Source organism: Homo sapiens, chromosome 2 (assembly GCF_000001405.40).
Source record: "Homo sapiens chromosome 2, GRCh38.p14 Primary Assembly".
NCBI lineage: Eukaryota > Metazoa > Chordata > Mammalia > Primates > Hominidae > Homo > Homo sapiens.
This window is the reverse complement of record NC_000002.12, coordinates 216881935-216897839: the sequence shown is the minus strand read 5'-3', so window position 1 is coordinate 216897839 and position 15905 is coordinate 216881935. Positions and strand designations below refer to the sequence as shown.

The 15905-nt window shown below is 46.7% G+C and overlaps 1 annotated feature.

Moving 5' to 3' along the window:
* Positions 8575 to 9102: an enhancer, noted in NCBI's record as "NANOG hESC enhancer chr2:217753461-217753988 (GRCh37/hg19 assembly coordinates)". NCBI's record gives its function as "activates a minimal SCP1, AML or CMV promoter by ChIP-STARR-seq in primed H9 embryonic stem cells {active_cell/tissue: H9 hESC(primed)}" and the evidence as "EXISTENCE:reporter gene assay evidence [ECO:0000049][PMID:30033119]".

The following is a 15905-nucleotide window of genomic DNA, read 5'->3' as shown; positions in this document are numbered from 1 at the left end:
AATAGGGGTCTAGGGAACAGGCTTTAATTGTTCACTTTCAGCTTTTATGGCTACCGAAGGAAATCTTGTGATGGGACCTCTATGAAGGAGAGGTGGCAGAGAGCCAAGTCCTATCCAGCAGCCTTAATTCTTGGGAGAGTGTTTTGGGAGAAAATCTTGATTGTCTAATAGTAACCAAAAGCCAGAACAAGCAGGTCGGAGTTCAAGACCAGCCTGTAGGGAGGGAAAGGAAGCACTGCAGGCCCAGATGCTTTGCCATCCCTTTGGCAAATGCAAATTCTGAAGATCCTCAACAGGTGGACTTAAGGGGGATATAAATTATTGTGAGAAGAGAGGATAAAGTTACAGATTTAGAAATGATTATAGAGGTTACTTGAACCACTTCTACGCTTCTGATATACTCCTCAATATGGCTTCTGCTCTCTCTACCCCCTTTATGTCCTTTCTACCAAAAGTTCTAAGTTCACCTGTGACCTCTTAGTTTCAAAATCTAAAGAACATTTCTCAGTATTTCCAACAGAACATTTGGCAGCATCTGCCACTAGTATAATCAAAACAATAAATAAATAAATCATACATACATTAAAAAAAAAAACAGACAAATACATAGGCTTTGAGAAGGAAGGGACTGGTTCACCAGCTAAGGGTTTCTTCCCACATCCCTGATAACAGGTTAGATTACTCTTTTGGCTCCTCTTCTAACCAGTTTTTTAGTGTCTGAATGTGTCTCTCTTAAAATGTGGTCCCCAGAGGTAAAATATATTTTTCATATGAGGTTTGACCAAGGGAGAATACAACAGAAATCTTCCTATTTTTCCTGTTGACTTTTCTAAGAAAGAAGTGCAAGAGCTAAAAAGAAGAGTGTCACAGTGGCCACCCTAATGTTGATCTTGTAGACTGCCTCCTTTAAGTTCTTCAGACAAATGGATCTAAGTTTCCTTTCCAAAAGCCAAACCTATCCAATACAGGATGGAAATAAAATAATATGTCTCATTAATAATAATAAAATATATACAATTAATTTATAATAATTTTTTTCAACAAGTGGTTCCCTTTTCTGAAAACAAAACACTGGCTATATAGGAAAATAATATGTTATTGTTTGCAAAGAATCTTATAATTTCTTGGCAACTTCTGTTAATAAATTACTGTCCCATTAAAGTAAAAACTAAAACCATTATCAATTATTCCCTATCTTGTAGAGTTGATTCTGAAATCATTAAGTGGCTTGAATATTAATGAAGCTAGCGAATGCAGTTGATGAGACTACAGTAAGCAATTGATTGCTTACGGCATCCATCTCTGTTACTGACTCTGATATTTGGCCTTGAGAAAATCATTTCCCTACTTGTCCTCCTTTCCTTATCTGTAAAATGGGCCTGTTGGATTTCTAAGTTCTATTTTGCCTGGGCTGATCCGCCTGGCCACATTCCATCTTTTCTGCTCAAAACATCCCATGGCTTCTACAATCACCTTTGTCTCTTTAGCCCTACCTCCCGAAATCAAATTCATTCTCCTACGAGATCCTCATCTCTCCTCCATTTGATCCTCTTCTGGGCACCAGTCCCACGGCTTGCACAAACCACCCCTGCAACAATGCACCAATGTGCAAGGAAAAAAAACCGCATTCACAAACCCTAACAGATTTGTCACATTACAGTGCATCTAAAACACAGATATGTAATTGGGGATGAGATTAGTTTTTGTATTGCTGACTTCCATTGGATTCCTTGGGACAGTAATAAATACAGCCCATGGGAATAGTCCCTGAGGAAAGTGACCTGTCACTAGACCTCTCTTCGGGGCAGGAGACCTGCAGTGTTAACTTGGCTCCACCTCCACTTTACAAATAGACTCAGCCCTATTTCTGGGCTCCTTTTTTTCCCAAGCTGCCTGGGGAGATTCAGCTTATCTCCTCCACCTTTCCAGTGGCCTTGGAGAGTGGCGAAACTGGTTTTTCCTGAGGGTCTTTGAGGCACCTTTGACTTTGCTCTTGGTTCTTTCCTTCCTCAGGACCCCCTTTATTAGAGGTCAGGGTTATCTTGCTTTCCACTTAAACTCTCCATTTTCAGGTTTTTCTACTGAGGAAGGACCTGCAGGTCACAGTATAAAGAATGGTACGGAAAAGAATGCGGGTTCTCATTCTCTAAGCAGTGGCCCATTGGATGGATGCTGTGGGTTTATCCCCCTCTCTGTCTCCACATCCATAAAGTCCAATCCATGGAGATTGCACTTCAATCTGTTTATACCACTCTCTGGAGAGAGGGCTTTTACCACCTCCTTCAACCTCCCATCTCTGCACCCAGTACTGGGAATTAATATGTTTACCTGCTAGAATTTACCCAAGTAGCCCTTTTCTGAGGATAAGCAGCATTTAAAGAGAACTACTTATGGGGGACGCGGGCGGGAAACCAATGGGTTTCTTGTATTTTCAAGCTGATAATGAAAGAAGGAAGCCAGAGAGGAAAGTCATCTGCATATCCAAAATTTTATCCCATTTATTAAAATCTTTGTAGAACTCAGATTAGCATGAAAATCTATTTTCTGAAAAGTTCAAGAATTATATGCTTTGACATAAACCCCTCCTGCATTCGGGAAATGATTGTGTCGTAGCTTTAAGGGCAACCCTATCCTTGTTCTCACACCAAATTGCACTCCACATTCAGAGGCCTAGAGCAGCTAAGCTGGGGCAAGTAAGTGCTGAGGGTACTGTGCAGCAGGTAACTCCTGGAGTCCTGCCAGGCAGACATGGCAGAGTACAGCCTTGCACACACATGCTCACCCACACTGAGGTCGCTGTTTGGTGTGACAGCTGCACCCACTGAGCAGCCATTCTCAACATGGGGATGATTTTTCCCTCCCTGGGACATGCCGCAACGTCTGAGACAATTTTTAGTTATCACAACTGGTATGAGGGTGGGGTGGGACATGGCGGGTTGTTATTAGCATCTAGAGGGTAGAAGCCAAGGATGCTGCTACACTTTCTACAATGCCCAAAACAGCTCCCATCCCAAGGTATTGTCCAGCCCAAGATGTCAATTGTGCCAAGATTAAGAAACGCTACCTTTAGAGTAACCAATTTGGGAAAAGAGTCGTTTCTCCTATGTATTTTCAGATCTACCATCTCCCAAGCTCCAATTCTGAATGCATTCATTCATTCTCTCATTCATTTATTCATTCATTCATTCTATATGCATATATTGAACTCCTACTACTGTATACCAAACCCTGTGTAGGTGCTGAGTAAAGTGGCAAGAGGAAGTAGCCATGATCCCTGTCCTTAAAGAGAATGCAATCATACAGGGAGAGATCAACATTAAGAGTATATACTTGACAGCAGAAACCGTTCTAAGCACTTTGTTTATTCATTTAATTCTTACAATAGTCCTATGGGATAGGTACTATTATTATTCCTGGGTGGGTCATCAGTGAGATCACTGAGGCAATATTCATTTAATTCTTACAATAGTCCTATGGGAAGGTACTATTATTCCTGGGTCATCAGTGAGATCATTGAGGCAATATGTAGAGAGGTTAAGTAACTTGCACAAGATCACACAGACAACAGGTAGTGGAGGCAGGATTCAGGCATAAGCCACCGGGCTACGGGGCCCATCTATGCTTTTAACCAGCATGCCATGCTGCCTGTCATATAAACAAACACATAGCTGGAATGATAGCAAATTATTTTAAAAGGAGAGGAAAATAAAGCTTTGAATGGCTATTATAAAAGAAAGTATAATACAGTCAGGAGGCCCTGAAGAGAACTCCTTGAGGAAATGGCACTTGGGCTAAGATCTGAGGAGTTGACAACCAAGACAGAGAAGGGTCTTCCAGGCAGAGGGACAGCATGTGTATTTGTTTTATGTTGTTGCTGTAACAAATCACCACAAACATAGTGGCTTAAGACAACACACATTTATTCTCTTACAGTTCTATAGTTTAGACACATGATGCTAGTCTCACTGAGCTAAAAATCAAGATGTTGGCAGAAGTGCATTCCTTTCTGAAGGCTCTAGGGGGAATCTGTTTCCTTGCCTTTTCCAGCTTCTAGGGGCTGCCTGCATTCTTTGGCTTTCGGCTCCATTCCATCTTCAGAGCCAGTGATGTCTGATTGAGTCCATCTCTCATCAAATCATTTCAGCCTTTTATTCTGCTCCCTCTGCTACTCTTAAGGGCCCTTGTGATTACACTGGGCCCACCCAGATAATCCAGAATGATCTCTCTATGTTAAGGTCAGTTGATTGACAACCTTAATTCCATCTGCAACCTTATTTCCCCTTTGCCATGCGATGAAACATATTCACAGGTTCTGAGGATTAAGCTGTGGACATCTTTGGGAGGTCATTATTCTGCCTATTACAGACAGCATGTCAAAAGCCTTGTAGAAGAAAAGAGACAAGTATGAGAGGTGGAGGAAGGTCCACGTGGTTGAAACAGCGGAAAGGAAGGGAGAAGTGGACAGGAGGTTAGGTCACAGGGCCAGACATGATGGACCTTGGAAGCTACATTAGAAATGTGGTCTTCCTGAGAGCAAGGGTGAGCTCTGAAGCATGTTAACCAGGGCATTGGTGTGATTGGATTAGCATTCTGACACCTCTACGGTAGGTGTGTAACAAGGAGAGAGTAGAGGCCAGAGTGGGGCAGGCAGACACGTTGTAGAGAGGAGAGGGTGCAGATGGGAAGTGATGGCAGTCTAGAATGGAATTTAAGATGGAGAGAGACAGGAAGATGAAGATTCAAGAGGTGTTTCAGAGATGAAATCAATGTAACTTGGGTTTGGGTGAGTAGGAAATGGAGAATGGGAGAGAGGGAGAAGTCAGGGAGGCTCCTGGGCTTGGGTAACCAGTGGTGCCACAGAGAATGAGAACAGTTGAGGAGGAGCTCATAGAGGTGGGGGGAAATTGGCTTTGAATGCATTAAATTTGAAATGTCCAAAAGGAAATTCCAGCTAGGCTGGTGGATCTGTGAGTCCAGAGCCCAGAGGAAAGGCCTTATTCATGGTTGCTACAGTGACTGTTGGATAATTCCAGCTCCATGTCTGGCTATCTCAAAACCAATGTATCTCAGCCCAAATCTGTTACCTTCCCGCAAACCAATTTCGACACCTGCATCCTTTTCCCTGTTAAGGCGCCATCCTACAAGGTCAGAAGTCTTATCTGACTTATCTTACCAGGCTCCATACAGTGCAGCAATGTGTCTGGACTCTCATAATAAACATAGTAGAATAAATAACTGATTAAACCAATGAATTAATCAATTACCTCTAGGTCTCTTTCTCTGGGTCCCTCTGCCCTACTCCCTGCACCACACTCTCTTATTCTGTTTCTTTTGGGCAAAAAGTCAGGTCTGTTTAGTTTACAAAGATCTGGGGTCAAATTGTGTTTTGACCCTAGCACCTGTAGCCACAGGACCTTTGACCTTAAAACTGCAAAGGGCTCTGTTTCTTTAAGCAGCTCAGCCAGACACTCAGAGAGAAACTTAACAAAACTGACAACGATTGCTGGATTTTATTATTTGTTTGGGTGTCTAAAATCATAGTTATTTCCCATAAGAGATATGCTTCATAAAGCATTGCTATAAATTGATTCATTTAAATATAAAATTGTAGCTTTTTCAATCAGATAAATATATTCCCATGTATATATTATTTTGTGAATTCATGTTCTTTGTCCTTTAAAGTTTCCAGGAACTCTACGCTCATTCACCACACAGAACTGCAGTAGGGAAACAACTGCTCACAAAGGAATGGTCCACTGGGTCAGAGCCTCCCTGAGCTTACACCTTAATTAATCAATCACTCAGAAAAGCAGCCATTAAGCTCTCTGTATTCATCACTGTAAAAAAAAAAAAGAATTACAGACATGGTGCTTTAAAAGCTTGTGGGCTGAGACTATTTTCTGCCTTTTGCTTTTGCACCATGCTTGTTAGACGGTTAAACGAGAAACTGAACAAAAACACAGCAAAATGTTAAAAAGAGTTCTGGGGTTCTCTTTAGATCAAATGTTAGCTCATTCTATCACAACAAAACTCTAGTCAGATAATTTTCCTTTTCTTCATTCACCAAATGAACTTTATTGAATATCTGTTATTTGCCAGGCAAAGGGAATACAGCAGGGAAGAGTCTGCTCCAGTTCCCTGTGGGACTCACATTCAAGAAGGAGGAGATAGTCAATCAGCAATAGATAAACAAAAAAATACTAAGTCTTCATGATTGCAGTAGGACTGTGTGAAATGAAGAGGTACTGCAGGCTGTACTTTTAGGAAACGCCTGTCACCATAGTTAATATTTAAGCTAAAATATGAATAATAGGAAAAAAGCGGGGGCATAATACAAAAATCTGGGGGAAGATCCCAAATATTTCTTGACTAAAAACTACATAAAACAGGGACTGAGCCCTGTTTAACATTACAGTCACTGGAGTTACTACCACAGTGTGTTAGCGCTGGGTACTCAAAAAGGAGCAGGTATTTACGGTCTTTAAAATATATATAATCACCTCCAGGACCTACCTAACCTCTTGACACTTTGCAAGCCTCCCTAAACCAGTACCGTAATCACTACAAAGCTGTGCTTAGAGGCTTTGAGCCAGCAGATCCAGCCCTTACCCCCATATCTGGGCACAAAGACTTTTTTCTTAGGCTAGAAATTTTCTAACCTTGACTCCTTCTAACATTTTTCATCTCCCATTTATCTTTTACTGGGTTCAAGGCTTTGCCCAGTTTCCTGGTGGGTCCTGCTTTGGCACCTTAGGAGTAACTGCAGAAAAACCCCTCCCTTCACTTCCGAACCACAGTAAATGTTTGAGCTAGAAAAAACGGGAACCACCTTCCCCCTCTCTCCCTACTCCCCAAAAGACTCCTTGTAGCGGACTTAGAGCACAGATTCCCTCAGTCTTCTCTTCTAGGACATCACATCCTCCACCATAGGAAGTTATTTCTCATGACCAGTTCCTCCAGCTACAACTTTATTCCATGTATGGAGCTGGTTCTTGCTGCTAAAACCAGTGGCTGACTCTTCACAGACTCAACACAGCTGAGGAAAAAATTGGTGAACTTGAAGATGGGTCAATAGAAATTAAACAAACTGAAGCGCAAAGGCAAAAAAGGGTAGAAAACACAACAAAGTGAAACAAAAACAGAATACAGCATCCAAGAGCTATGGGATGATAAAAAGCTAATGGCTGGACATGCCGTCATCACATAAACTGGAAGGGTCCTAGGGTTATTAGTTCAACCTGTCCCCACCTAACCCCTAGTTATACAGCATTAACTTCAAAGTCACCCTGAAAGTCAGCTCCCAACCTTAATTTCTCAGTCATCTTCCTTGGCTAGCAAATTCTAATATTCTAATATAGAGTGGTCTTAGCAGTGATGAAAATGACGTTCTCATGGCATAGTTTGGGGGGTCATTAAAATAGGATTGCCAGATAAAATACAGAACATCCAGTTCAATTTGAATTTCATATTTTTAATCTAAAGCATGTCTTACGCAATATTTGGGACATACTTATACTAAAAAAGTATTCACTGATTACCTGAAATTCAAATTGAACTGGGCATCCATATTTTCATTTGCTAAATCTGCTAACTCTATATTAAAAGTCACCATGCAATCCACTCAAAAGTCTCTCCTTTTTGACCATCCACATTACCTATTCCTAATAAAACAATGGATTGGTTTATCAGGTCTACCAGGCATTAACCTAAGCCATGGGCACTTCGTGAAGCATGGGGCATAACATGGAGGAGTGGCAGGAGGAAACCTGCCACAGAGGAGAAAAACTCTGAGTCCAGAATCAGAACATCCTGTTCTAGAACGAGCTCTGCCTCTTACAAATTGGGCACCTCACTGAACTTCTGTGTCTCACCTTCCTAGCGCATAAAATGACAATTACAGTCCCACTTAGTCCCCTCTCCCAAGCTCTCAGGTGATCCTCAGCACAGCTCTCCAAGGAAACATAATTTGAAAACCATATAGGAAGACATGCCCATCTGGCAATGGTATTATTGTTCCTTATGGGAAGAAATGAGAAAAAGACTGAGCCGCCAGGTAGAGGGTGCTGGGCAAGGGAAGGAAAGTCCTCAGATGGCCTTTGCCCATCTATCTTGCCCCTCACTGCCATTAGCAACACCTGCTGTCATCAGACCTGCCCACTTCCACCCTGACAAATTGCATTTCAAACCATTATCGGTCAATAGCGTTTATTTTTGGACATTGCCATCATGAGTACCCCAGGCACCACCAGGCTCTGTGATGTCAGCGTGGCTGAGCTTGGCCTGGTCAATTCTCAAAGGAGAAACTGCCAAGGGGATCGTGGGAGGGCACAGTGATATGAGACCCTGTCCTCTGAGCCAACTCCAATGACAGCCGGGGAAGTAAGTCTCCGTCAGGGACACCATTCGCCTGCTGGCTTCTGGCCTCTCTCTGGCAATGATCAGCACCCAGCAAACTGGCTTAGGCATGAGTAATAAGACAGGTTTATTTCACATGGCTCCTGGCGAGGGAGCAGTGGCCTGGATTCCATACATCAATAAGAGCACAGACAGCAAGCTGGCACTGGCCTGGAATTAGTACTCCCAACCTGGTTCTCCAGGGCTGCTCTGCCATCTCTTGAGACTCCAGACTCTGAATCCAAGGCTCAACTGCCCCATTTTAGATGCCTCATGAGCCTAAATGACCTGCCTGCAAGGCCAGATCCACCCCTCCCCTGCTGTCTCTCCCTTGCCAACATCCACAGCAGTCCCCACGTTCAGGAGAAAGAAGCGTTAGGTATTTCCCATGAATCTGAAAAAGAAAATTTGCATGAGCAGCAGGAAGCTCCCCTGGGTTCAGAGGCTCTTTAGTTATAAGAGGGAATGTGTTGTAGTCACAGCTAGAGATACTTGAACTAGACAAAAGGATTTTGTACACTGCCACTGCAGCATGAGAACACAGATTGGAGGTAGTGGGACATGTTACCAAAGCGCGTTATAGACAACCCTACTCTCACGTTTTCTGATCCAGAAACAGGGGACTGTGGCAGACCCAGAAAGAAAACTCCAGAGATGGAAAACTATGATCCTTTGCACTATGAAATAAGCTAGAGCACAACTGAATGTCTGCTTGGAACACACGACATCCACAGAAACATCTTTAAACACAGAAGGTCTTCTCCAAGCTCATCTCTGGTGATAGGACAACAGTGGGCCTCAAGCTTCTCCAGCCAGTAGCAGGTGAGTTGCACCCAGGCCTGTCAATTTCATGCACACTTGACCCAGTGGCTCATGCTGCCCTCCAAACCTCCCTTAACTGCCATGTTGACCCTGGGCACTACAGGTCTAGGAATGTGCACAAGAATTAGACAGCTGCACGCTCTTACACACATGTAGCCCATCAATGTCTCAAAAGTCCAGTCAAGGGGAGGCTAAGAGGGGCTCCTGGGGAAAGTGTAGAAGGTCCCACCGGGAAACTGCCTCTTGGGCTCCTTTCTGAGCAGGAGCACCTATCTGGCCTGAGGCCTGTCCCTCCTGGCTCTCTCTGAAATGGCTTCTCTCTGTCCCTCCAGACCAGATCTGGTTTCAACAAACTTGGAACTCTCCAAGCCCTTTCCTGCTGTGAACTGATTTATTTGGATCCATCTGTCAGAGCGTGACTGAAGAGTGTCCGGCCAGCTAGCAGCCCAGCTGCAGCAGATGTTGTCTCAGAATGCCCTGCGAGGTGAGGCTCATATGGATTTTACCTGCCCGTTCCACTTGTTCTCCTTTTGCCCTCCTGGGAAAGAGTTGGAAAGGGGTTGAGAACATCTGCATGACCCATGAGAACCAGGAAAGTTAACAGGGCATCTTGGGGGCCACAGAGCACTAAGGAGGCAGGCGTGCTGGTGCAGCAAATGGCGGTGACCCTGGCTCTAGCCTATGATTGTACATATAAAATAAATGTTGCTGATACAAGGGCATGTACAATTTATTAATAATAAAATAAGCAACACTCTATTGTAAGTTCCGTATGACCAATGGATTCTCACAGAACGCTTTTGTGAATTTTTGCCAAACTCTTGTGTCTATAGTGAGTTTATCATTGCAGTTCAACTATGATTTGACAAACGGCTGTGTTTGGCAACAGCTTGTGAAACTTTAGACAATTTAAAAATTGGGACCCAGTAGAAGCTGGGTCCCGTATCCCACTGAGGCAGTACCTTGAGTGGACCCACAAGGGTAGGGGCTGTGCTTGTCTATCTGTGTCTGCAGCACTCATCACAGAACAACACAGTCAGCCAGTCACAGTTCAGCATTCAAGCTGTTCCCTGAATTGGACCTGCTCGCCTTAAATCACCCAAAGAAGAAAGCCAAGCAAGCAGGATCTGATAAAGTAAGAGTAGGTGTCCACAGGGAGCAGGGCCAGGGACTGATGGTGGCAGGTGGTGGGTAGCCAGTAAGACTCCATAGACTGGTTCAGAGTTTGGAGAGAAGCAGCAGGCATGGAATGGGGAGAGCAGGAGCCAGGGAGGGCATTCCTGGTGAGAGGGATGGCACGAGGAAAGGCACGGGACAAACGGCTGCCTTTCCCAGCACGCAGATCACTTAGATACCGTCACTAAACCAATGTTTATCGTCCACTGTGTGCAAAGCACTGTTCTAAATTAAGCAAAGTCCCTGCTCTCGTGGAGATTAAATTCTACCAGGAAAGAGACCCAACATACAGCAAACAAGAACCCTCCATGGTGGAGAATGCTACGAGACAACAGCTTTTATTTCAATATAAGGAAGAACTTGATGTGGAGCCTAATCGCCAGGAATGTTAAACAGGTGCTTCTCAAAGAAAAGTCAAGTACGGCTAAGCAAAGAAAACCAGGTACCTTTCAAACACGGCTTCTCAGGGTCCTGGTGCTCATGGCCGTCAGGAGTCACCAGCAGGAGCTGATGGGCTGTAGTGCTTGTCAAACTTGCTTCACGGATGGAAGAAAACAAAAACATGAGTTGGGCTCCCAGGTGGAGAGCCAGAAAGTCTGACATCCTGGGCAGCCAGTGTAGGGATGTTAGAGCAAGTAGTCAGGCAGATACAAGCAGGGCTGGAGAGGGGTCCCTCCGACCAGCAATGTCCAGTGACCATCAGGTGATTGTCAGGCAGTTGCTACACTGTCTCTCTAAGATAATAACTGGTCACAGCTGGTGCCAAGAAAAGGCAGTCTCCCCATAGATAGAAAACACCTGAAGCTGGTGATCAGCAGCAGCTTCCTCATAAGATCTCAGGAGTTAGGCGAGTGGGCCCACGCATGAGCTCTCAGAGGCAAAATGGCCAACTTTAACTGATCTATGACCCTCCTCTAGGAACACTCGCCTGGTAAGGGAAAAATGCCTCAAATGAGCAAGTACACAACTTCAGTAAACTCACTGCACATACGACCCCTCTTAGGTGCTGGCAGGCCACTGTGCATCCTAATATGTCCGGAATTGGTGGGTTCTTAGTCTCACTGACTTCGAGAATGAAGCCAAGGACCCTCACGGTGAGTGTTACAATTCTTAAAAGGCAGCGTGTCTGGACTTTCTTCCTTCTGGTGGGTTTAGTGGCCTTGTTGGCTTCAGGAGTGAAACTACAGATCTTCGCAGTGAGTGTTACAGCTCTTAATGCCGCGCGTCTGGAGTTGTTCGTTCCTCCCAATTGGTCTTGATGGCTTCAGGAGTGAAGCTGCAGACTTTCACGGTGAGTTCTTACAGCTCATAAGGGAAGTATGGACCCAAACAGCCAGCAACAATGAGTTATTACAAAGAAAGAAAGAACAAACCCTCCACAGTGTGGAAGAGAACCCGAGCAGGTTACCACTGCTGGCTTGGCAGCCTGCTTTTATGCTCTTATCTGGCCCCACCCACATCCTGCTGATTGGTCCATTTTACAGAGAGCCGATTGGTCTGTTTTACAGAGAGGTGATTGGTCCGTTTTGACAGGGTGCTGATTGGTGCGTTTACAATCCCTGAGCTAGGCACAGAAGTTCTCCACTTCCCCACTAGATTAGCTTGATACAGAGTGCTGATTGGTGTATTTACAAACCTTGAGCTAGACAGAGAGTGCTGATTGGTGCATTTACAAACCTTCAGCTAGCTACAGAGTGCCAATTGGTGTATTCACAATCCCTTAGCTAGACATAAAGATTCTCCAAGTCCCCACCATACTCAGGAACCCAGCTGGCTTCACCCAGTGGATACCACACTGGGGCTGCAGGTGGAGCTGCCTGCTAGTCCTGCACCATGTACCCGCACTCCTCAGCCCTTGGGCTGTCAATGGGACTGGGCACCCTGGAGCAGGGAGCAGCGGCCCTAGGGGAGGCTCAGGCGCGCAGGAGCCCACGGTGGGGGCGGGGGCGTGGGCGGGGTCGGGGAGGCTTAGGCATGGCCTGCTGTAGGTCCGGATCCCTGCCCGGCAGGGAGGTAGCTAAGGCCCGGCGAGAAATTGAGCACAACAGCTGCTGGCCCACGTGCTAAGCTCCTCACTGCCCAGGGCCCGCGGGGCCAGCCGGCAGCTCCGAGTGCGGGCCCCCCAAGCCCACGCCCACCCGGAACTCGCACTGGCCCGCAAGTACCACACGCAGCCCCGGTTCCCGCCTGCGCCTCTCCCTCCACACCTCCCAGCAAGCTGAGGGAGCCGGCTCCGGCCTTGGCCAGTCCAGAAAGGGGCTCCCACAGTGCAGCCGCAGGCTGAAGGGCTCCTCAAGCACGGCCAGAGTGGGCGCCAAGGCCGAGGAGGTGCCAAGGGCTGCGACAGCTGCCAGTAGGCTGTCACCTCTCACTAACAGCCCACCCCAAGGGAAGAATCAGGGGAGAAGAAGTGCAAACTCTGGAACCTTCCAAGGTATAAAACCCCAAGTCAAGGACAGAACAGGGCACTTGGACCTCTAAAGTTGCTTGTTGGCCCTCTAACAAGTGTACTTTACTTCTTTTCATTCCTGCTCTAAAACTTTTTAATAAACTTTCACTCCTGCTCTAAAACTTGCCTCAGTCTCTCCCTCTGCCTTATGCCCCTCAGTCGAGTTATTTCCTCTGGAAAGGCAAGAATCGAGTTGCTCCAAACTGGTATGATTTCGCCACTGCTCACAAGAATATTACTTCAACGTCTGGGTTCCTGAGACCTGAATAGGGGAAATCAGAGGAGGGGGAAGGCTGATCCAGAAATGTAGCTACTCCTGTCAGCCCAGCTGCTGCTTCTCTGCATTGGCCACAACCCCCAAGTCCCAAAGAGAAATTAATCCCCCAGTGGCACTTGCATGGGGTAAGAGCTCCTGCCTGGGTTTCTCTTGTCACAGGGGCCAAGCCCAGTGCTGTGGAGCAATAGCCCAGGCTCCGCAAACAAGCAGGCCCTGGACAACTTGTTTCTGGCCAGGCTCCTGAGAGAGCGGTTGGAGCCTCCAGAGAGCTCACAATGAGACACAGCTCCTGGACTCCAGATGACCTAAGAACTGGCAGATTAATTAGCCTTCTCCAGGGACTTCTAAACTGTCCCACTGGGCCACCAGGGATCCTCCAAGGTGCCTTGGGAGGTACTGAGAGAGGTGTCAAGCAGCTGAGGGATAGGGCTTCAGCAACTGCTGGCCTCAGCCACAGAAGGCCCCTCTGCTCTCTACTGAGGCTCTGCCCAGAAAGGTTCATCTGATCCATAAGAAGAAAAACATATTTGCCACACACAGAGGGCTCCAGCCTTTGCCTCTGGCCCCTCCAGACGTACAACCATCTCCTAAACTACTCTTCCCTAATAATAGTCCTCTGGCTTCTCCATGAACTTGGCAGTTGCCAGATACTCTTCACACACTCAGGTCTGCCTGCCTCCCAGTTCTGGAGAAGGGAGGCAGATGAAGGAGAAAACTGAGACCCAGCAAGGAAAAGGAACCACAGCTGGTAGCAGAGCAGGGGTGGCCCAGAACAAGCACTGTGTTAGTGGCTACGCAATCTGAACGTCCCCTCTGACAGCCCCTGCCATCCCTTGCTCCCAGCCCACAATTCCACCTCACCTCAGAGCTGCTGCCCAAGAGCTCATGAAAACCCCTCTGTGCTTTTTGGCCCTGTGGCTTAGTTCCACACACAGCACACTTTACCAGTTTTTGAGCCAGCCCTGAATGACAGTCATTTTCCCCAGGATTAAAAATCCCTTTAACCCATCCTTCATGCCACACAGGCTGAGCCTGGGAAAAACATCCGGGAGGCACGTCTGGTCCACCAGCCGACCTCCCTCGCAGATGGGCCTTCATGGGCATGAGCCCTGGTTCCTGCCACACCACCAGGAATGTGGCTTTGGGTCCCAGCCCCAGCCAAGAAGCTTACTCCACTGAGTAATTCTAATGCCTGGAGAAAGTCAGCAAACGTCTCTGAGCCCGTTTCTGCTTCTTTGTAATGTGGGGAAAACGCACCCTATTAACTCACTTAACCATCCATTATAACAAGCAAGGCAGTAGCCAAAAGCCAGTCAGAATCCTTAGTGAAGGCAGATCATCTGCAGCAATTCCAAGTGTCTGTTCTCTTGCAAGATTGTTGAGAGGTGCAAATGCATATTGTTAAGTTTGGGGGCAGGCTCAATTCCTCTTTCTTTCCTTCAGCAGCCGCCCAGAAGACAGCCTGATCTTGACAGAGGCTTTGACCATGGTGATTTTTACAGAAGCCCTAGATAGTCACCCCTTATCTGTCTTGGGAATAAAGTTGCTGAGGGTTGATTAGCAAAGGAGGGAAAGTGCAACCGAGGCCTGGCATTTCCTAGACGAGAGATGGCGGTGGCGACAGGGCCTATGGGGTGGGGAAGGGGGTCAGCCGTGTGAGTGGCTCCATTCCTGTTAGTGGCACCACCAGCAGACCTCCCTGGAGCCAGCCAGTCCAGCCAGACTGATTAGGCCAATTCACTGTTTATCTGGGACAAGCAGATAAGGCTGTGGCCCAAGAGGGGTGGCTATGGGATGTGCCCAGCTGGAAGGAGACCCAAGAACACTGTAGCTGATGGAGAGGGAAGGGAAGAACAGAAAGAGTTCACTCAGGAGCCTCCTTTGTGGGTTTCAAATGGTCTCCAGTCAAGACGGCACTGAGCCTCCTGACATGCCCCACCTGAGTACCCGAGGCTGGCAGTTCTCCAACTCTAGAGAGCATCAGAATCACCTGGGGGTGATTCTAAAACACAGGTGGCGGGCCCCCACCCCAGGTCCTGCTTTAGCAGGTCAGGAAGGGACTAAGAATTTGTATGTCTAACAAATTTCCTGGTGATGTTGATGCCACTGGTTCGAGCACCACACTTTGAGAACTGCTGCCGTAGGCCCTTGATGAAACCTACCTGTCCAGCCCCTCCCCAGCCTCATCCTTAGGCTATTCCTCAAATCCATCTCCTTCATTACTCCAGAGAACCTAATTCCAAGAAATCCCCTAATGAGGAGTGATGGCCACCTCTCTCCCCACAGTCTAGGGGGGTATAGGCACTGAGGTATGGGACCTCCTGGGCTCCACTTTCCTCATTTTAGGGTGGACTAAGTGATATCTCTTTTTCTTTTTTTCTTTTTATTTTTATTTTGAGATGGAGTCTCACTCTGTCGCCCAGGTTGGAGTTCAGTGGTACGATCTCAACTCACTACAATCTCCACCTCCCAGGTTCAAGCAATTCTGCTTCAGCCTCTCGAGTAGCTGGGATTACAGGTGTGCGCCACCACACTCGGCTGACTTTTTGCATTTTTAGTAGAGATAGGGTTTCACCATGTTGGCCAGGCTGGTCTCAAACTTCTGGCCTCAAATGATCCACCCACCTCAGCCTCCCAAAGTGCTGGGATTACAGGCGTGAGCCGCCACACCCGCCCTAAGCAATTTTTCAGCTAGCCCGTTTTCTCAGTGAAGTTCCCTGAATCCATGGAAGGGAAAAGAACACCAGGCTTTACCTGGGAACCTAGCTGGTGCCAGCTCTGTTCTTC